At 36.5% G+C, this 23,800-nt stretch overlaps 1 long non-coding RNA gene across 1 annotated transcript in view; it reads left to right on the plus strand.

Moving 5' to 3' along the window:
* Positions 1-6,358: 6,358 nt before the first annotated feature.
* The window catches only part of LINC02269 (long intergenic non-protein coding RNA 2269), a 32,253-nt gene continuing 14,811 nt past the window's right edge, over positions 6,359-23,800 (plus strand). The window contains exon 1 of the long non-coding RNA NR_146487.1: positions 6,359-6,406. This is a non-coding gene — a long non-coding RNA (long intergenic non-protein coding RNA 2269). The remainder of the gene's footprint in view (positions 6,407-23,800) is intronic.

Consider the following 23,800-nt stretch of genomic DNA (forward strand, 5'->3'; position numbering starts at 1 on the left):
CTTGTAGGCCAACTTATTTTGCTGGCTGAACTTCAATTATTTGTTTAATTCTTGCTATGTGTCCAGTGCTGTACTAGGCATAAGATGGAATGCATACCTTTGTCTTTTGCAAAGGGAACACTAACGAACAAGGCAGTTTTGTCAGACACTAAGTATACTCCTTGACTAGGCTGGAGTACCAGGCATTCAGGTGAGTAGGAAAGGGGAATACGTTTGGAAACATCATGTTGGTCCATGTTATAGAAGACCTTGAAAGTCAAGCAAAATAGGCTAGACTTGATGTGGTAAACAGGAAGTCTGATTTCAATATCAAATAGAGTCATTATTAAGGATGAAAAGAAATGTTAAGATTACGTCATCAATTGTTATTTTATCAATTGTTTTTATTGTGTAATAATTTAATTATTGCACTTCATATTACTTGAGAAATAATAAAATGAAGAAAGAAGCCCTTCTTACCTATTTGAAGTGAAATATTTGTATTTGTTTTCCTTAATGTTATTTCTGTCCACCTGCCTAGAAATCCTTAATCTAGCACATTCGTGGTATTACTTTTTTTTTTTTTTTTTTTTTTTTGCTTCTCTTCCACACATGTATGTCTTCTGGATCTAATAGACTGTTTCAGTCATTACTTGTGTTTGTAAACAGCTGTTAAATTCATCATGTCTTAAGTTTAAATTATTTGAGTTCCATTTTGTCCTCTGATCAATTGACTCATCCATTCATTTGACAAGAATGTAGAGGGAAAATTACATGCCAGGAATCTGGGTTCTGTAGGCAATATTAACAACAAAAAAAGACAGTTGAGGACCCTGAGAAGCACCTGCACTGATAATGCATTAGAGGGTGATGTATGTCAAGTCTTCTATAGTCTCAAATTTAAGAATACCATCATAGCATATTTTTTACTCCATTAAATAAAGAAACATATAATTAAAAATATTTAATCATCTCATTCCTGTATTCATGATTCTAGGTAGAGTTAGAGTTACTTTTTTCATGATATTAAACAAAGCCATTCACATGGATGTTGGGCAGTCGGCTAGGTTCACTCAGTGGCAAGACTTTTGTTCTCAAATGGCCCCTCTGTTTTAAAGATTCTGCCGCAATAACTTTCAAATGACCACATGTCATGGAACATTGTTATCACTGAATATAGTAAAACCCATAAAGGTGAAAGCTGAGAATTTTTAGGCCTACTGAAGTGAGGAATAAGGTTGTACTTGCACAGAGTGACCCATTATAAAGGGCTCTAAAATGCACTGCAGGAAATTTGAATATAACGGGACAAGTAATGGGGAGCTACTGCTTGAGCTGAAGTAGAACATAATCAATACATTTGGCAATTGCAGGCTAAATATTATTGAAGTAACAGAGTCAAGAAGAGCAGGAAGAAGACTAACACTGTGGTTCTGGCATGATGTGGTTAGATAGCTACCAGAATATTAGCAGTGAAAACAGTAATGCAAACATAAAACAGTTGCAGTGCTGACCCTCCAGGGGCTTGCAGTCCAGTGGGAGGGACAGGCACATAAATAACCTAGCACAATAGAAGAAATGATCAATGAGAGATATAAACTGGAGCCCCTGGGAGCATAGAGTATGGCTGAATATGGAGTAAAGAGCTCACAAGTCATCAAAGCAGTGCATGGTACAGATAGGGGATGGGGAGCATTCTGAGTAGAAGCTGCCAGTGGAATGCTGGTAGATAAGTCTAGGTGCAAGTCCTGATGGGACTGGTGTTTTTGCTAAGTAGCTTGTCCTATAAATTGAGCCATATCACAAATTAGAATCATGTGATTCCATTTGCATTTTAGAATCATACTGAAAGTAGTATGGAGGGAGCACTGCCAAGACCAGCTCGGTTGGGATACCCTAACCCAGCGGCGCTAGAGGAATTAAAGATGCACACACAGAAATATAGAGGTGTGGAGTGGGAAATCAGGGGTCTCACAGCCTTCAGAGCTGAGAGCTGAGATCATCGAACAGAGATTTACCCACATATTTATTAATAGCAAGCCAGTAATAAGCATTGTTTCTGTAGATTATAGATTAAAAGTATTCCTTATGGGAAACAAAGGGATGGGCTGAAATAAAGGGATGGGTTTGGCTAGTTATCTGCAGCAGGAGCATGTTCTTAAGGCACAGATCGCTCATGCTATTGTTTGTGATTTAAGAACACCTTGAAGTGGTTTTCTGCCCTGGGTGGGCCAGGTGTTCCTTGCCCTCATTCCGGTAAACCCACAACCTTCCAGTGTGGGCATCATGGCCATCATGAACATGTCACAGTGCTGCAGAGATTTTGTTTATGGCCAGTTTTGGGGCCAGTTTATGGTGAGATTTGGGGGGGCTTGTTCCCAACAAGCACAGATGGAGGAAAGAATCAGCATGTCTAGAGGCAAGAGGACCCCCATGGAGAGAATAGCCTAGGTTGTTGTTTGGATTCAATAAAGTGTTGCTACATGAAGAGCTCCAAGAACAACCTCTGGTATGTAGTAGGCTCTTAATGAATGTAGGTTCTAGATTTACTATTATTAGTGTTCGATTAGTCCTATTTGTACTATTGCAATAGTCTTGGTGAGAAATGAGAAATTATTAGAACATGTGCTAATGTTCCAGAAGTGGTGATGGGGAGGAAACCTAGATTCTGGAACTATCAGGGTGTGGGGTGGGAGAGACTTGAATTAGGAAGATTCTGCTTAGATGATGGGGCAAGGCAGGAGGGGTCTGGGATGTGCTTTGAGACTTTGAATCATGGCCCATTAGTGGGTTGTGAAATCAATCTAGAGGGTTATGACTGGAAATTTTAAAAAAAGGAATAGAATTTTTAAAAATTTCACAGAGTCTCACACTTTTTTTTTAAAACTTTTATTTGGGTGGTATATGCAAAAATATTTTTGGTGTGTCTAGAGTGTATCCAGGCACAACCAATAGGCCCAGGTCTGCATCTGCCTGGATGACTACTGTCCTCTGCAAGGCAGATGGCTCGGAGCAGACCAGAGCTCATGATCCCAGCAGTCATGCTGATTTCAAATCAGAGAATGAGGCTCAGAAGCTGAGACAAAGCATCTTATCCCTTTCTTTCAAACCTGCATATTAGACAAGGCAATCTTCTTCATGGATTATAGGTAACAAAGAGAGGACAGAGTTTTTTGTGGGAAAGTTCATATGATACCAAGAAGAACTAGGAATATGCATTTTTCTCTAATAGATAATTTATCTTTCCCTAATTTTTGATGATTAAAAGACGCTAGGGCAAATTCATTGTTAAAATTTTTATTTTTGTGTAGATTGGCACTAAAATGGACTTATAATGGCAGTTTTGTGAGTTCAGAAATTCAACCCAACATCACTATTCTAAAACGTTGGGACGAAATTTGCTTCCACGGTGTTATGATTTGAATGTGTGTGTCCCTCCAAAATTCATATGTTGGAACTTAGATCTCAAGATGATGGTGTTAAGAGGTGGGGACTTTTAAGAAGGATTAAGTCACAAGTGCTCTGCCCTCAGGAATGGATTAGTGATTTTATAAAAGAGGTTGAAGGAAATACCCTCATGTCTTAGCCTTCTGCCTTCTGCCTTCTGCCATGTGAGACACCTCACATGGCACCTCTTGGAAGCAGACATCAGCCCTCACAAGACTTTGAATCTGGCCAGAAGCAGTGGCTCATGCCTATAATCCCAGCACTTTGGGAGATCAAGGCGAGTGAATCACTTGAGGTCCAGGGTTCGGGACCAGCCTGGCCAACATGGTGAAACCTCATCTCTACTAAAAAAATACAACAATAACAAAAAATTAGCTGGGTGTGGTGGCACATGCATGTAATCCTAGCTACTTGGGAAGCCAAGGCAGGAGAATCACTTGAACCCAGGAAGCAGAGGTTACAGTGAGCCAAGATCGTGCCACTGCACTCCAGCCTGGGGGACAGAGTGAGACTCTGTCTCAAAAAAAAAAAAAACCCAAAAAAACATTGAATCTGTTGGCACCTTGGTCTTGGATTTCCCAGCCTCTAGAACTGTGAGAAGTAAATTTCTGTTCTTTATAAAATACCCAGTCTTCAGTATTTTGTTATAGCAGCAAAAACATACTGAGATTCATAAGGAAGTAGTATTTTGTTTAAGAGTAAGCAATCTACAGCTTGTACAACTGTTGGCTTTCCTGTTGCTAAAGATATTGGTCCAATCACCATTTTACTGTTCTGAGATCAAACACCATAATAAGACTCAAAGAATAAAAACTGAACTTAGCTATTTTAAAAATAACTTATGGCCAGGTGCTGTGGCTCATGCCTATAATACCAGCAATTTGGGAGGCTGAGATAGGAGGATCACTTGAGCCCAGGAAATTTGAGACCAGCCTGTGCAAGATAGAGAGACCCCATCTCTACAAAAACAAAAACAACAAACTTATAATTGTATACTGTGACAGCATTTCCATGTCAATAGTACCAATTTACAACATAAACCCAGGTTCTAACTGAGGAAAGTCCAAAACTCTAACCTCACAGAGCCAGTAGGGTACTGGAGTGGGGGAAAGGAATGAAAGGACGTGAGAACTGATTGACTCTAGCAAATGATTTCCAATTTTATAACCTGTACATAGCTCCAGGATTCTTTTTTGACTCTTTCTTCTTCTTAACCCCAAATGCAACTGGTTTCCTATTGATTCTTTCTTTGAAACATCTCTTAATTTAGTCTCATTCTCCCTCTTCATGACATCACGGAGCCTAGGCATGAATTCTCCTGCGCTTGGATCATGCCTCCACTTTCTGCCTTTTCCAAGTAGTCCTTCGTCAGACCCACAGGCCTTCTTTTCAAGGGGCTACTTCAATGAGATTCTTTGCCTTGATCAAAATTTCTCAATGAATTTCCTTTGCCCACATCTCAAACTCCTAATTCCACCTTCAAGATCCTTCACAAGCTTTCTCCTTTCAAGACTCACTTCCAACGTCTTTTCCTGAGATCTCCATTACAGTCAAACTTAGCATCTCTCAAGCAAACCTTGTCTTTTCCTTCCTCCAAGCTTTTAAAAGCTGATATATATGCTGCAGCTCCTGGAATACCTCCCTGGTTGCAACCACGGATACACCATAAATCCTGTCTGGTACAAGGGAGGACATGCATTCATTCATTTGTTTTAAAGTGCCTCCTGTTCCTTGTATTCTTTCTCCTCTACCTCATGCTTTCTCTGTTCATCATCTCTCTCTCAACCAGGCTTTTAAACTCTTTGAGGTCAGACAGCATGTGTTCCTTCTTTTTAATTCTGCGCATTTTTTTTCTAGGATGTACTTTATATAGATAATTTTGATGGATGATAGTGCAAAAAGAAAGTCTTTTCTGGATATTTTCTTGGTGTAAATGAGGTCACCCTAATAGCATCTGTAATCACTCTGAAGTCCTTCAGCCCATTTAGTCTGAAAAATGTTTTCCTAAAATAAAAGTTCTTTCTTTTTTTTTTTTTTTTAGTGCATATCATCGTCATTCATCTCACTTTTCCTTCTAACATCAAGGATCTATACAAGGCCGTTGATCCCCACTGCTGCATATTTCTTGGATCTATCTGAGGTCCCAGATCCCATTGCCTCTTCATCCTCACAGCCACTGCTGGGTCTGGGTCCTCATAAGTTCTATCTGGAAGTTTCAGTACAGTCTTTCTCGATGTGCTCCACACTGTTATGGGAATGAATTTTCAAACACCCCTGCTTTGAAGATAGGGTGCTTCCAGGGTAAGGCATAAAGTTCTCCAGGGAGGCAACAGTGCAGTGGTATACAGACAGCACAGCCTTTCATTCCTGCGAGGCCACTTACACCTGAGTGAGGATGGGAAGAAGAGAAGACAAGGACGAATGTAGGAAACTGTCAGTTAAATGACAATGTATGGATGGCAAGAGAGAAAGAATAGTCAGTGATGGAAAAATAATCAATAACAGCTTTGGGCTTTTGAGTTTGAAAATGGTGTGTAGGGTGAGACAACAATAGGAAACTTCTAATAAAGAATGAACAAGTACTTCTACTTGTTCAATGAATGTGAATCTGGTACATACATTTGATCCTTAAAATATTCTCACTAAACTGGTATCATTTAATGGAACTGTTTAATGTTATCCTGGGCAAGTTACTTACTCAATTTGCCTTAGCATCTCATCTGCAAAATGTGGATGAGTACCTACCCCCCAGGGTTATGTCAAAAATTAGATAAGATGAAAAGTAAGTTATAGTATTAGAATGGCACCCAATACATAGTTTGGAATTTTTTAAAATGTCAGCTATTATGATGATAACAATGGTGGCTTACAAGACCTTTGACCATCTGGCTTCCCTCTCCAAGCATGCCAAATTAATCACACTTCTTAAACACATCTCTTGACCGGGGTGTTCTCACCATGCCCTTTCTACAAACAAAAAGTAAGTACTCTTCTCATTCTTTAGAACCAATTCTAAATTCTCCCTCATATGAGAATTTCCTTATTATTCCACCTGGTATGAATGATTTCCACTTCCAGGGTCCCCAAGACTTTAATATCATTTCTGGAGCATATGTGATGATAATGTAATAATTATAATGATACTATTATGCTATTGCATATTATGGTATTCAGTACAAACAATTTCTTGATGAGAAGAAAAATGCCCATTAGAAAATTAGGCTTATTGTTTTGTTTTCTCACTATAAAATATGCTCATTGTAAAAAAAAGTTAAAAGAAATAAAATCAACTATAATGTGATGTTCTAAAGATAATCAACCTGATCATGGATGCATTTACCTAGGGTATTACGCGTTTTAAAACACATTAGTATTGTGTTCCATGCACAGTTTTCATTTTAGGCTTTTTTTTTTTTTAGGCTTTTTTGGTACAGTTTTGATTCTAGGCTTTTTTGTTTGTTTGTTTTTTGGGGGATTTTTTTTTATTGCCTTAAGATGATATCATTTAAGGGTATATATAGTAATCATTTTGTGTTAGCCACACTATCAAAGCCCTTCTCAGTCATGAAATCTCAAATACTCTCCTCTTATCCTCATTCCTTCCTTCCTTCATTTAAAGAGGAACTTGAGGATGTTTTCTTTCGTGAATTAAAATTTATTTAACCATTAAGGTGTCAAATGTTACATTTTCTTTTCTGAAATGGAACAATTCATTGTGCTCACCTAATTGGCATTTCAAATTTTACCTTGATGTCATTTATAAAAGTTCTGCTTCATAGGTTTGACAATATTTAAAATCTGAAAAATTAGGTGGCTCTGGTGTTGCCTACACATGCCACCTTCCAATCATCATTCTTTATTGGTAAGAATAATTAGAGTAATACAGAGATTGAAAAAAAAATGTAGCACATTTGTTCTTGGACATAGGACAAATATGCCTGGTAACTAGCTGTTAAAATGGCTACATTTAATGTCAACTGTGTCTTCAGCAGAGTTGAACTCAAATGGAATCACACATTTTTTGTTTCCTTTAATTATTAACTTCACTTGGGAGTTTAGCCATACCTCTGAGGTGTCCTTTGTTAAGTGTATTCTCATTCTTTATTCTGGATGGGAAAAGAATAGTATCAATATATATATTTTTTAATTTCATAGAAGGGCATTATTCTTGCCCACATCTAACTAGTTTGTTTTTGGGCTTCTGGTTCATCAAAGAAAGATGTGGGGTCATAAGAGAAATCATGAAGGTTAGTTTTATGAAGAATCCTTCAGAGAAAGAGAAAAAATACTAATATTATTAATAACAAATTATGAATGGTACTCTTGTTTGTTGTTGTTTATGTGTTTTAGCAACCCACAGGCCTCAGTTGCACTTTTAATTATCTGGGAATATTTTCCTCTTGGCTAGCTGAATGGTAGGAATGATTGATGCAACACTTTCTAATTTCCTAGTGTACAGCTGAGGCAAATGTAAGAGCTGATGAAAGAATATCCCCTCTGTAGGATCTGCTGGATTAGAAAGGCCTTCCTGGGACAAAATAATTATGCACACTTATCTTAAAGTTGCCACTATCATAAGTGGAAGGCATAATAATATTATGTTAAGATATATTTCCTTTTTCAGTCAATATGGGGACAAAGGAACAGAACAGAGATGAAAGTTTCCCTGTGGCTTTTGCAGTTAACTAAAAGCCCTTAAATGACTGTTTATGGCAGTGATGTTGTTCATGCTGCTTGGTTAAGGATCTGAACTTTTTTTTTTTTTCAAATGCTTATAACATTTTTAGAAAAATTAACTCCTGTCTGGAAATTGGCAAATTATACCTTGGTGTGAGAATAGATAAGTTCTGAGGAAAAGGAAAGAACCAGATATATATGGGCTTTCAGAAGAGTGAATTCTTTTTAAAGAACTTTCTTCGTGCAAGGAGAATTTCTCCATTAAAACAAAATAGGACTAAGCGTTAGAATTTCAGACTTGCTTTTACTAATCATGAGATAATATGAACAGTAAAAGTTAACCAGTGTTTGGATGTTAGGGGCCAAATTGCATTAGTTTATTTGAGGAAAATACTTTTACAGTGATTTTACTAACTGACCTTTAATTATTTGCAAAAAGGAAGCATCTAGAGATATTTTAAAAGACTAGAGGAAATAGAAATGATTAATTCAGGGCATGACCTTTGCTCTGGATAACTTGTTTTGTTGTGGTTGTCTTCCTTTCTCCCTTTCTCTCTCTCTTTCTTTCTTTCCTTTTCTCCTTCCTTCCTTCTTTCCTTCCTTCTCTCTTTCTTTCTTTCCTTCCTTCCTTCCTTTCTTCCCTCTCTTTCTTTCTTCCCTTCCTTCCTTCCTTCCTTCCTTCCTTCCTTCCTTCCTTCCTTCCTTCCTTCTTTCCTCATTTTGAAGAAAAGAGTGCTTGGCTGCTCGTTAGTGGGTTATACTCCCCCTCTTTTTCAGGGAGGACCAGGGCAAAGGAATTATGATGTGTGCCATATTGTAAAAGGAACATTTGCTTAGAAATCTGTAGCTGACATTTTTATGCAGGATCCTGTGCTTCCAAGGCAATGAAAAACTGAACAATGTTTTCCTTTAGAGTGTAAGGAAAATTTCAGATTAAAATGGACCATACTTACTAGTTTCCAATAATTTTAATTTTATTTATTTATTTATTTATTTATTTATTTATTTATTTATTTATTTTGGAGACAGGGGTCTTGCTCTGCTGCCCAGGCTGGAGTGCACTGGCGCACTCATGGCTCACTGCAGCCTCAACCTCCCAGGCTCAAGCAATCTTCCTGCCTCAGCCTCCACAGTAGCTGGAACTACAGGTGCACGCCACCACACCCAACTCTGGTTTCTGATTTAAAATGACATTTTGGGTTTCTTTCTCCCATGAGGTATTAGTTGGCTACAGTTGTATGATTTACATTGCTATAGACCTGGAGTTCACACTAAACACACTCTAGGGTTTAGAATACAGGCTTTCTCCTTTTTCTATAATTTTTGTAAAACATTTCTGGCATTGTTTTAGTAAAATATGAATAAGTGGTAAGTTTTTTGAGAATTCTGCTAACTTAGTTCCATTAGCTCATGACTCACCTGAAATTGACATGCTCATCTTTAATCTAGATGTTTTTAAATTGTCTTGTTTTCTTTCTTGTTCACGAAAGAATAATATTTTTCTTGATAAATCCGACTCTTCATGGACGGATCTTGTGGAACTGCCCTCATGTGTTCCACTATCAATTTTTGCTTCTGCCAACAAAGGGTTCTGTGGGTAAATGCTGCTGTCTTTGCTTCTCCTCATCCTGGCTTGTTGATGGGTGGACAAGCAAAGGGCATGGAAGGATGAGGCCTTCAGCTAGGGCTCAATCCTGCACATTTGAAGAATATCTCTTGAGGTTACGAACAATCATCCAACTGGAGTAGTTGGGGATAAAATTAAAATCTCTTCTAAATAGTTTCTAAACACAAATTATTTAGAAATTTCTATTCATTTACAAGTTTTAAAATAATCAAAATGGTACAGATGCTGACATGATCAGTAATTACCACATTATAAAGAACAAATGAATGTTATAAAATGTGTTTTCATGTTGTTCAAGTTTTTTTGTGTGTGTGTAATAAAAATTTCCATTTTCAGCTGGGTGCAGTGGCTCATGCCTGTAATCCCAGCACTTTGGGAGGATGAGGCAGGCGGATCACCTGAGGTCAGGAGTTCAAGACCAGCCTGGCTAACATGGTGAAACTAAACTATTTCTACTAAAAATACAAAAATACAAAAAATGAGCTGAGCATGGTGGCGCATGCCTGTAATCCCAGCTACCCGGGAGGTTGAGGCAGGAGAATCGCTTGAACCCAGGAGGCGGAGGCTGCAGGGAGCAGAGATTGTGCCATTGAACTCCAGCTTGGGCAACAAGAGCAAAATTCTGTCTCAAACAAAACAAAACAAAACAAAAAATCCCTTCCATTTTCTTTGTCACAAACATATTAATACCCCAGGTAATAATAGCTCCCTCATTGAATGTTAACTCCCTATAAGCAGGGATTATTATTATTTTTTGTTCCCTTAAGTGTCTTTAATACCTAACAATCACTTATTTATTCAAAAAGCATTTACTGAGAACTTAGTATGCACCAAACCTACCAAACACTGGTAGGTAAGTCTTTAGTACAATACGAATGAATCCTGATTTCAAGGGTATATAGTTTAGCGGGATAAACAGTCATTAAACACATTACCAAAAGAACAAACAACAAACATACAAGCATTAAGAAGGAAAAAAAGGTACAAGAGATTCTGAGAGACATGGTAATTTAGTTTGAGGGAATGGTGGTCAGGGAAGGCTTCTCTATGGCATTGACATTTAAGTGAGACTAAGACTAGACGATTATTAACGATTGGTTGGAGAGAAACAGCCCAGAGTGTGGTGAGTAGAAGTGTAGCACAGGCTGTGGCTGGAGAGGTAAATGAGGTAATTCATCCAACATGGGATAAGAACTGGAATGTATCCTAAGTACTGAGAAACTTCATTAAAGATTCTTAAGCAAGGAATGATCCAAGTTGCATTTTAAGAAGATCATCTGGCTGCTGCGTGGAGAATGAGTAGGAAAGCAGCAAGAGTAAAATGGGGGAGAAAAATCAAGGGGCTATCACAGTACTTCAGGCAAGAAAACTGTTGACTTATTTCCAAGGGCAGCGGCAGTGAAAATGTGAAAGATGAGAGTGGATGGGTGCCATATGTTTCGGACGTCTGGTTCACAGATCTTGGTGATGGTTTAAACGGAGGAGTTAAGCATGAAAGAGGTGTCAATGATTGCTATAAGGTTTTTAGGTAACCAGGTGGATTCTAGTGTCATTTGTAGAGAAAAGAAAGACTGAAATGGAGTAAATATGGGGCAGATAATCCTCAGATAAGTTTTAGACATGTTAAATTTAGGATGCATATAAGACATCCAAGCAATGTTGTCAAATAGACATACAAGAGCTGTCTGGATAGGATCTGTAAATTTAGACATCCCCAGAATGTAGATGATTTCTAAAACCAGAGGGATGAGTAAGATGGCCTCGTGCAGTGCTTTCAAACTTGTTGGATCGTAGGGATCCCTGGGCAATTATTTAAAATATACATTCCTAAGCTCTACCTGAGACCTACTGAGTAAAAGTTTCCAGGGTTGAGAAGTGGCAATCTGTATTGTTTCGTTTTGTTTAGTGACCGGTATCTCGTTACGTTGCTTAGGCTGGAGTACAGTGGTTATTCACAGGCACGATCATAATGTGCTACAGTCTCAAACTTCTGGGCTCAAGTGACCTTTCTGCCTCAACTTCCCAAATATCTGGGACTACAGGTGCCCATTACCATGCCCATCTCAATCTGTTTTTAATAAGCACTCTAGTTGCTTTGTATGATCAGATACATTTGAGAAAGATTAGAATATGGACCGAATTTGAAAGAATGCCAGCATTTAAAGGTGTGGGGAGAGGAATGGTGGGGGTGTGGAGACCAAGAAGGAGGATAAGAGCAGAAAGGGAATAACAGAAATTGTAGGGTCTGAATCAAAACTGATGCACTCTGCAAGATGTCTGTTTGCATGAAACAAACAAACAAAGAAACTGACGCTCTGAAACCCTCTGATACAGACTTAACAGACAGCCTCACTAAACAGCTTTATATTCCCACATTTCATATTACTTTTGGAGACATTAGTATCTTTATTCCATATAAATTTATACACATGAGACTTTGCCATACATTTTACCAAACTAAAAGGCATTCAACAGTTAGAATTACTTTTGCTATTTCTGTATTTAAAATATTGTCTCCCTTAAGTAAAACAGTGCCCTGTGAGCCAAATAAATACATTTTAACCAATTTGAGAGGCTAGAGATAAAAAAATTCTAGCCTCATAAATGGAAGCAGCCCCAGAACTCTTGCACTGACATGGCACTTGACCATTAGAAAGGGATAATTTCAAATCATAAGCAGCAAGTAAGACAAAGCTATGAAGATTGCACGTAGGTTGAGACATTATTTTCTGCGAAGTTTAGTATTGTTTTTCAATTTTTGTTGTGGTTTACCTTATTTGCAGCAGTCTTATTAGGAAAACCTAAAAGAGTCTGATTTAAATCTCTTGTTCCCAGCCAAGCCCAGGTCTGAAAGGGAAGAGAAAACACATTTACATTCAGTGTCACAGCCTTAGACCCCAAGTGCAAGTTAGACTAGATTTGTTGAGATCAAAAGCAATTTCTGTAGTTATTTGTTTGCAGATTTACAGTTTAAAGGAAAGAATTAAATAGTATGAACATATACACTGCACTTCCCATGTCCACATGTTTGTTTGAAATTGCCTGAGTTTATTCTATAACGTTTGATGGTTCTATTTTCTGCCTTCACTATCTAGTGTTTGTTAAGTGAAGGTGGGTTTAGCTGATCTGTGTTATGTCTGTGTGACATGTATCCTCCTTCTTTTTTGGCTTTAGTCTCCCTTTTGGGTCTTGACTTCTATCACTATTTTGGAAAGCCAGGAAGTCAGCCAGAATAAAATGAAGTCCAGGAGACTTTTTTTTTATAGCATTTATTTAGGACAGTAATTCCAGTGGCAGCAAGTCCACCATTAGCAAGAATATATTGGCTACTTTTATTATGTAGGTCTGAATTCCTTGTCTGTCATACCACACGTAAACCCAGAAGAAAATAGTTAGCAGATTTATGGTTTGCACTGTCTCTGAGATGTTACTTTGAATATCTGATTCATAATTCTCTGGAGGGAAATCTTACCTCCTGGAAGATCAAGAGGCTGTGATGGCATTAGAAGTGGAGTTGAGCTTCTGTGCCTTGTGAAGCTCATTTCTCCAACCATGGAAGGAGTTTGAACTCTCAAAAACATAGCCAAGTATCCTGCCTTTGTCATTTTGCCTACTTAAAATCACCAATAAAGGCAATGAGTAAAAAAAAATTGAAATTTGAACTTAACATTGTATCGAAAAATCTACCTTTGGGCCATTCGTGATATAGACATGGACTACTTGATTCAGAGACAGGCCAATGAGGTTTGCACTGACAAAATCTGAATATAACGACATATAGGGTTATGTCACCATAAGCTTTAGGGAGGAGCTAGTTATCCAAAGGCATCTGGATTTCATGGCAGCAGCTGACCCTATTTAACCTTCAGCATTAATGACTAACACTTCTCATAAGGGCTGTTGTACCTCCATGCATTTCATTTACATTGTTCACCTCGAGAAGAACATATGTTATTCCTAGAACTCAAATGGCATTTGTTTGATGAGTGGGGTAGCAAAAGAGGTAAAGGAAAATACTGGAGAACAGAAAGAAAAGTCTTGCATTCTAATATTGACCTTGTTTGGCTTCCTTTGAATTCCTCAGGAAGTGATGGAATGGATGGATGATGAAGCGGTGATGGAAACAGGGCTAAATTAAATTACAAAAATTTGGGGTCTAGTCCTGCCACTGATCACCTCTAAAACTTAGTTTCCATGTCTATAAAACTGAGATAGTAACCCCTCTCCTACTTATTCTACAGGGATTGTGTAAAGATCAAGTGAGATATTTTAGAAAAGAACTATAAAACTCAAAGATTTTATACAAATTTTAAAGTATTTTTACCGAGATAGCCAAGTGAACAACACTTCAAATAAATTAAGAAATTCAAATATAAATAGTAGCAGTAGTAGTGTTGTAGTAGAAATTGTAGTAGAAGAATTACGGCAGTAGTTGCCATCGTTTCTTGAACATCTAATATACAGTAAAACCTATTCTAAGCGTCAGAATCCTTATATACGTTTCTTTAATAGTTATAATAACTTTGTAAAGTAGATTTTTTAAAAAATCCAATATTATAAATGAAAAAACTAGGTTTCAGAGAAAAGTGAAATAATATGCCCATGGCCCCTCAGCAAGTAAGTACAGAATAGTGTCAAATCCCAGTAGATGCATTTTACATTTATCTGAGAAGAAAAAAGGGATGCGGTTTTTAACCACTTTTCAGTACTTTGTTTTTCTTCCTACTTGGGGTTGTTATTATTACATTCCTAATTTCATACTTCCACCTTTTGCATTAGGATCCAAGAGAATACACACACAGACTGGACCCCCACTTCTCTCTAATTTTTTTGACATTAGCATGACTGGGAAAGACTCTTTGAAACTGCCAAGATCTTTACGAACAGCTGAGCCTATAAAGTATACAGAATACTAGTAATAAGCCTATTATATATGTTGTGTGCTTCTGTAAGTTTCCAAAATAGCCTTATTGAAAATGCTTCTACCTATGTTAAATGCATTAGTGAGGCCAATGTCAGAGGAAAATAATAAGATGACTTTATAAAATGTTACCAACTGGAAAACATCAGTGAATTTGTAAGATCTTCCTTCTCTCCCAGTGAATGGAACTGAAATAAATCCTAAAATGACTAAAACTTTGAAAGATCAAGCTCGTTATTACAAATATAAAAAAAGTAATAAGCATACTTAAATAAGGATGCAGCCTCTTTCAGAACATTAAAACCATGTTCTTAAAAAACTATGAATATATATAATGGAAAAATACCCTGTATAATCAATTATGATATCTATTGTAAGATATTACTAAGAGAAAAAAATTATTAAAACATCAATTCAACAAAGAGTAAATTTAAAGAAATTACTCATTTCAATAAAAATAAAGATCACTATCAAGGCAATTCATAGAAAAACTTCAAACAGCCCATAAACAAATAAAAAAAAAGAACTTACAATCTGCTATCTAAACATTCAAATTAAAAAGATGAAATATTTTACCTGCCACAATGACAAAAGCTTAAACAATTTAAATTTGATAAGGCTTTCTTTCTGTTACTGGCAGTCATACAGGCTGCTGTTCGGAGGACAGGCGATGTAATCTTTATGAAAAGATACTTGAAAATATTATCAAGTAACTTCAAAACTTTCAGATTTTTCAGCCAGTAATTCTATTTCTAAGCAAATAGTCAGAGTTGAAGCATAGATTAAGTATAAATACATTTTATTGTTATTTTCATTGTCAAAAGTTAGAAAAACACAGTTCAAAAATAGAGAAATATTTTAGGAGTATACTTTCACATGGCATTAAATAACATATTTTTAATATCATATAATATAATGGCTTATATTTGGGTAGGAAAAACAAATCTAAATGTACATACAAAGTATACACATAATTTCGTTTGAAATCATACAGCAGAGGAAAAAATACTAGAAAAATTTACCCCAAATTTGAGTGGAGACATAAAATTTAGTTTTTCTTTATAAGCTTTTGCATGTCACAGTTTTATACAATGAGCATGTAGTAAAAAGTTCACATAAAATTGTTCATAGGAATATTAAATAAAGTTCGAACGAATCGAGTGACGCTGAACAATAAACCTATTTTGACTGCTAATTGCTAAAGTAAGTAATTAACTCAATAGGACATCATTTCATTTATAAGAATAAATTATAATCTGTAAAAGGAATTTTGCATGACATTTGATTTGGTTTTAAACGGACCCTGAGATTGTTAAACGTCAAATTCTTCCATTGTTTAAAATGAATATTATATTACAACTGCTTTTGCTTCCTGGAAGTGGAATTTACACTTTTTCTTAACGCTATTGTTATATTTTCTCAGTTGCCTAAATAATCTATGCTCAGAGACATAATATTTTGGGAATTCATATTGCTTGTTTCTTTCTTTGTAGTTGCTTTAAAAGTAAATCCTTTAGGAGAACATTTCTTTAGCTTACTTTTTCATTATTTCCAGAGGCAAAAACTGGCAGGGCAATTTATAATTCAATTTTTGCTAAATCCATGACACCCAATATATATGTCAGGCATTTCAACGGCAGGGTACTTTGGGGAAAGGTGATAAATTGTACTGATTATAAGCTCAAGCTGTTCTTCTAAAACATCATATCAAAAAGAAGGTAAGTATTATTAGGAAAATGTAATGTATCTTTAGATTGTCCAGAACTATCAGAGATAATCACTTCATGTGAATATATTTCCCTTAGTGCTATACAGCAATATAATAAGGTTCTTACTGTGTTTTTGATAGCACTCATCTGGAGAAAGGTAAAAAAAGACCCTATCAGTTCACAAACCTATCACAGGCTGGTAGTCTTTCAGCAGCCACAGAGCTCTTAGTGCTGCAATAACTCACTCCTGCCAGAAATGCCTCACTCTGAAACCCAAAACATGGCCCTAATCATTTTAGGACTATGTTGGTATATGTGAGTAGTATAAATATTATTTTATAATATAATCTCCTCTGATCTTTTTAAACATCCTTTCAGTGTTCCAGGTATTTCCCTGTGTGATATGTGTGGCTTAAGCAAAGCCACAAATTCCCTAGGTTATCTCCAAAAATTGCTGAGAAAGTGGACAATTGAAATATAAAACTCTGCTCTGGTGGGATACAGGCATCTGTGTGTGCATGTGCGTGTGTGTGTGTTTCACACACACATGCTGCAGTTTAGTGTGGCATTCCATTAATGAGTGAAGTAATTAAGCAAAGCACATGGGTAGGTTACTCAGATCTAAGAATAGGGAACGGGGGATTGGAGCCTTTCACCTCCAGGTCAATGGTTTCTGTTTAATCGGGCTGTTAATGACCAAAAGTCATTGTTTCCATCTGAGAGCTGTTTGGTCTCAATATGAAGTAAGTTGGTGGTCTGCTCTCAGTTTCTCATGTGCAATTGTATGGATCGTGAAATCTATGGCGGCTTTTTGCCACCCTGTTGGACAACTCAGTAAAAAACATGCTGTTTGAAGGTAATGGCAAAACAACTCTGTCTCAGACAAAGTGTACCTCCAAAAGAAATGTATTTCTAAATAGCAAAAATACATTGAAATTGTTGACATGAAATAATAGAAGATTCATGAATTTGCTTTTACTGTGTATAGTAGGCTTTATATTTACATAGTTACTTTTACATACAATAATTTGTTTGAACCTCAGAGTTAATGAGTGTGATGTAGGCCATGCTGATAATAATATTTAAAGTTTCAGAAATCAAAGATCAACGAGGTCAGGGCTTGCCTAAGATTATGGAAGTAGTAAGTTCCTACAGCAGTGCTAGGGCACTATGGCAAGCCTTTTGGAAGAGTGATTTGAGCAGGGCTTCTAAGTACCAGAAGAACTTGGATAGAGCAGAAAAGTAAATGATATTCCATGAAGGACATCAGCATGAGGAAAGTACAAAGGTAGAAATGAGCAGTGTGTGTTCATAATAAAATATATTACATACATTTTGCAGTATGTCTTCACACAAGAATACACAAGAAAAATCTTAAAAAGATTTTACCTTATACACACAGTTACATTTATGAACACCTGTATGTTCACACAGATTAAGGTTACATTAAAAATAATGAATTGGTATTGGTGTTCTTTCAACAGGAACAGTAGCATTAAAGATGTATTAAGAGCAAAACATGTAAATATTTATGAGGAAGCAGATGTGAAAGTGCTGCTGGAAACAGGCAAGAAGTATCAAAACTTTTTTGTGAGATATGAGCAGTGGCTGAAAGATAAAGGCTCTCAGTAATCTAACAGTAAACTAATAATACGTCTTGATTAGGAAAGAAAGGCTTCTGATAACCTCCACCTCTAAAAAACTTTTCAGTCAAGAAAATTCCAAAACTCTCTGCGGCATCCTGCTACTGTTGTCACAGCAAACCCAGGTATTAGCTTTTCTCAACTAGGAGCTGGACTCTCCCATGTGCAGACTTTAGAAAATGGGGATAATTTTTGGCTTTCACAATGACAAGGGCCACTAATGGACAAGGTCAGAGATGCTCGGCACCAGTCCCTCACTCTGAACCCTGTCCTGTCCCCAAGGCCAGTAGCATTCCCCCAACAAGAGATACTGTTAACATTTTTCTCACCACTGTGTCTCCATATACCCAAGACTATAATTCTAAGACCGACAAATCCTAGATGAAAAAAAATCACAATTCACTATTTCAACATTTTTATCTTTATTTCTCAACTACTTAAATTTTGTCTCCACCTTTAAAAATAATATTCCTGCTAAGATTATAACTAAACTGAATGTCTACACTAATGAATACTTTTCAGTTATCTTTATTAGACACTTCCTCTTTCTGGAAACTCTATTCTGTCTTGACTTCCTCAATATCATTCTCTCCAACTTTTCAGAGCACTCCTAAGTCATCTCTCTAAGTTTCTCTGACTTCTCTAATCCTTTTATACTAATGTTCTTTAGCGTCCAATTCTTAGCTCCCTTTTCTTAAATTTTTTCCCCACACTCATGGCCTCGGCTATCACCGCTAATGATTCTTAAATCTCTATCTCCAGCATTAATCAATCTCTTGAAAACAAACCTCGGTGATGTGCTGCGTATCTCACCTTCATATCATATAGGCATCTCGAACTCAGATGTGGGCTTGTAAAAGGCTCAAAATTATACCACTGCACTCTTGCCCTTTCTGTCTTCATTCAAATGACAAGTTTCTATTAAGTGGAGCTAAAAAGAAAAGTAGAGCATGGAATCTGCCTTTTAGCTTACATTTGAAGAGATGAACTTAATTACAAAAAGAGGCGTTTATAATTCTATAGGAGATAGAAGAGGAAGGACTGAATTCTAGAAGGGGAAATGGAGAGAGGGCACGTAGTAGAGTCCAGGAAACATCTAAGGGTAAAGGACATTTAAGCTAGGAGTTTCCCAGATGATTAGAGCCATTCTGAACAAAAGAAGTAATGTGTGCATGTAGTTGAGAAAGATTAGGGTAAATTCTTGTACCTCTTGATAATTTGGTGTGACTTTGCAGTGCACAGGAAGAAGGAAAGTGCAATGAGAGAGAGGCAGCCACCAGATCGTAAAGGTGTTTTATTTCCATCCAAAATAATCTGGACCTTATACTTTGGACAACTTGACAATTAACTAAGTTTAATTAGAGGGTGCAGGACAACATCAGTTTTGTTTTTCAGATTATTCTCAGTATGGTAAAGAGGATGATCGGGGAGATGGAGCATTACACAATGAAGACAAGGACAGCGTAGGAGAATGTGTTAGCAGCCAGTTTAGCGATCATGAAACTCTGATTTAGGATGCTAGAATTGGAACACAGAGGAAGAACTGAAGTACATATATACTATTTTTTGAAAGTGAAATCAACAGATTCGGTAACCACTGAACCTGGAAGGTGATGGAAAGGGTAGAGTGTTGAGGGTGACCACCAAATGTCCAGGTTAGATGGTGTAAGGCAGAAGCCATTGAAAATTATGGAGAATATAGGAGGATAGAAATGTTTTGGGGAAATAAAATGAGCAAATATCATGGACTTAAAAAAAGTCACCTTGGAAATCAAAGCTGAACTAGGGCCTCTTTTTTTCTAGAATCTGAACTATACCAACCCTTTTCCTTCTTAGGACAATAAGTTTTGGGTTTATCCTTATTGGTAGAACAGGTACATTAAAGACAGAGAAAGGGCATTGGAAAATATTTCAAAATTATCATTCTTATTGACTTCAAATGTAATATGTAATATTAGGTATGTTACTTAACCTTTCAGTTTCATTGTCTTATTTGCTAAAAGAGCAAAAAGATACCTACCTCACAGTGATTCTGAGAAGGTAAAATAAAATGGTGCATTTTAAAGCACAGAGGCAATATTTTTTCACTTAGAAGTCTCTTTAAAAATTATGTTCCTCTTTTCCTTCTCACACTGTGGTTTTCAAATAGCTTACGAAATACGCCAAGTGACTGGTCACAGTGGCTCATACCAGTAATCCCAGCACTTTGGGAGGCCGAGGCAGAAGGATCGCTTGAGCCCAGAAGTTTGAGGTTGCAGTGAGTTACAATTGCACCACTGCATTCCAGCCTGGGCAACAGAGTGAGTTCCTGTCTCAATGAGAGACCATCCCCTTATAATTATATATGTATATATAAAAAACACCACTATATATATATGTATATATATATAACCATATATATGTATGTATGTGTGTATATATATTGAGAGAGACAGAGATCCACATATGTATGTACACACACACACACACACATATATGCATATATATATATATGGTGTGGTGGGGTCTTGCACTGAGATCTCTGTCTATGTATATATATGTGTGTGTGTATGTGCCAAATGTTCCCCAGACATGTCTCCTATCTTTAAAATAAAATCATGCTCCTTATAACTCCTATATTTTAGCAACTCTCACAGAGAATAAATAATTTACTGGCATTGTTTTTCTGAGCTTGCTTGGTATATTCAGAGATTCAGCAATCAAGACTTACCTTACTGGGATGATTTGTGTCAACTAGATTTTTTTTAAAAGATAGTACTTACAGAAAACTAAACACCCTTTAAAGAACAAGCATTAAGAGTCTAAACCATTTTAATGAAAGCTCACATACATAAGAGGTGAATAACTGTAGCAGTTGGAATTTGAAAATGAGGTTTTCCTTACTTTGAGGATAGAGTCGTGAGAGGTGGAATGGCAAGAGCAGAGATGGCCAAATCCTGACTTGATATTTGGTAGGTCCAACTGATGAAATACTTTAAAATTGATGCCTAGCAGTAGAATTTGATGCAACAGAGTCCCAGGAAACCTGACAACAAAGAAATGATCATTTATAAAAAGCAAGATTGAGGAAAATTTTGGTATAAGATAAACAGCTCTAATGAGTTAAATTGCTCTAGAATTATTCCAGCCATTGGGCCCCTTATATGATTTACACAAAATTTGGTTTAGTTGATGTGGTTGTTTGAGTGATTTATGCTACTGATAATGAAAGCTTATAAATTTCTCTAAGGGAAGTATAGATCTTTGTAGTAGACTGTTTTAGTTCACTTACAGAGTTCACTTCCACTAGCAGCAACTTAAGCCTTTTATATAAATTGGAAGAGCCTGCCCTTTCCAAACTCTTTCATGTACCCTTGATCAGCCATTGCAAACATGCCAGGATGAAACACAACTGGCAGAACTTTGGATCTAAACCACTGTCCCCATCTAATGTTATCTAATGTGCTCAAAGGGCCTCCAAGAAAATGGAATTTTTCAGCAGTTGCTTTCAACTAAATGTTTATAGCAACATGAAAAATAGAGGAGAAAAAGATCATGTTCCTGCATAAAATGAAATACATTAGAGACATAAATATTGATGAGATTTTATACAGGCATAAAAGCAGGTGAAATGATTGACAGAGGAAAGACATAATGAGACAAGAAGGGGCCTGAATGGCCCGAATTCAGGACCCTGTGTGAATTCACAATTCAAAAACAGAATAGAGGATGATGAGTTATCAATGTTAACTGAAGCCAAGAAAGAAGAATGTTTGGTTTTGAAGAGGAGATGACAAGCTGTGTTGAGGAGAAGTGGGATGAGGAGTATTTTAGAACTTGAACATATTTAAATGCTGATGGGAAGGATGTGGTAGACATGACATGGAAAAGGAAAGAAGGAAAGTGGAATCCCAAAGCGGTCTGCTTTATTTGGGTTATATACATATATATCAATACTTACCATATGAGAATTCATAATTCAGCAATTATTAAAATAAGTATTTATTATTTTAAAATTAGCCATAATAAATTTGTTACACATAAATAACATATTTTTATTTTAAAAACTGTATTTTCCAAAGTAAAAATAAATGAGTGATAAGAATGGCACTGTTGTACATATTTTCAAATCTCCTTAATGTTATGCTTAATAAAAGAGAGCTGGATTCTCATACCTGCCTCTTCATTCAGTCTGTTGCCATATGTTGCTTTGGTTAATGTATATGAAGAAAATCTGGCCTTACACAGATACATAGTAGGACAATGGAGAAGGTGTCAGTATGCTTCTTGGATACTACATTAAAATTCACCACGTGGTAGTTTAATGAAGATTAGCTGCAATGTGGAATCTGTAATGATATCAATGAATATTTTGTATTCTAAAATCAATTTGTCTGTCTTGTGCTTTGAATCAAGTTATGTAGCTCTTCTAAATGCTAACATTTTATCATACAATGTCAAAAAATTACACTTAATAATATCACTGATCTCATCAGAAACTTTTTTTTTTTTGAGATAGAGTCTCACTCTGTTGCTCAGGCTGGAGTGCAGTGGCATGATCTCAGCTCACTGCAACCTCCGCCTCCCAGGTTCAAGTGATTCTCCTGCCTCAGCCTCCCAAGCAGCTGGGACTACAGGCGCACGCCACCACGTCTGGCTAATTTTTGTATTTTTAGTAGAAACGGGGTTTTACTATGTTGGCCAGACTGGTCTCCAACTCCTAAGCTTGTGATCCACCTACGTCAGACTCCCAAAGTGAGAAACATCCTTAAGTACCGGGAAGCTGTCAAGTTTATGTCAAGTTTGGGCAAGAAGCAACTTGCCCAAAATTCCAGTATTCACTTGAAAGCCTCTATATCATTGGCAAAAAATAGTTTCAATTGTTTTCCTTGAAGTGATAATTTCACTCCATTCATTTTCAACAAAATGTCTGCCAGATACCTAAGCCTGAATAAGTCAATTTTTCAAGTAAAATAATATTTAATAAAAAAGCTCTCAATTCAAACAATCACATTTTTTCTCAAGAAGACTATAATTCTCCACCATGCAGTAGAAGTGTTTTATGTGTGCTTCCTATTGTGTCACACAGCATATCAAAAAGATGTGTACTCAAGGTTCGAGGTTTAATACAATTAATAATTTCTACTGCCTTACTTAAGTCATTCATAGGTGAAACTACCTTTATATTTAAAAGTGCAAGTGTGTGGAAATGAACAACATAATGACCATTAGCTCAGATGGTCAGACCTCCTTGATTTGTGCTAAGGCATCCACAGTTTGACACCCATCAGTGCAAATGTCAAGACAGTGAAAAGGTCAAACAATACTTTAGTATTATCATAAAAATAATTTTGACCTTGCGGAACCCATGAAAATTTCTAAGGAACCCCCAGGGTCCATGGAATACACTTTGAGAACTGCTACTCTAAGAATTTACTATGCAATAAAGGTGGAATTTAAATCAGTCTGAAAACATTTTCTGAATAAATATTTCTAGGATTACTGGAAAGCTATTTGGAAGAAAAAAATTTTATTTGTACCGAATTTTATGCAAATACATTTTAATAGATTAAATAGTACATGTTTATGGTCTTATTATGTAATACTCTTAGCAAATATAGGTAGATATATATTTAATTTAGGGATGAGTAAGATTTTTCTCTGCATTATCTCAAAAGAACAATCCATAGAAGGAAATATGGATAGATTTTTCTACAACAAATTGGAACTTTTAAAAAATATCAAACAACTTCAGTGTCTAGAGAAATAGAAACAAAATGGAAAACTGAGAAAACACTAACTGCAACATGCAAAAAAG

Source organism: Homo sapiens, chromosome 4, assembly GCF_000001405.40.
Source record: "Homo sapiens chromosome 4, GRCh38.p14 Primary Assembly".
Taxonomy (NCBI): domain Eukaryota; kingdom Metazoa; phylum Chordata; class Mammalia; order Primates; family Hominidae; genus Homo; species Homo sapiens.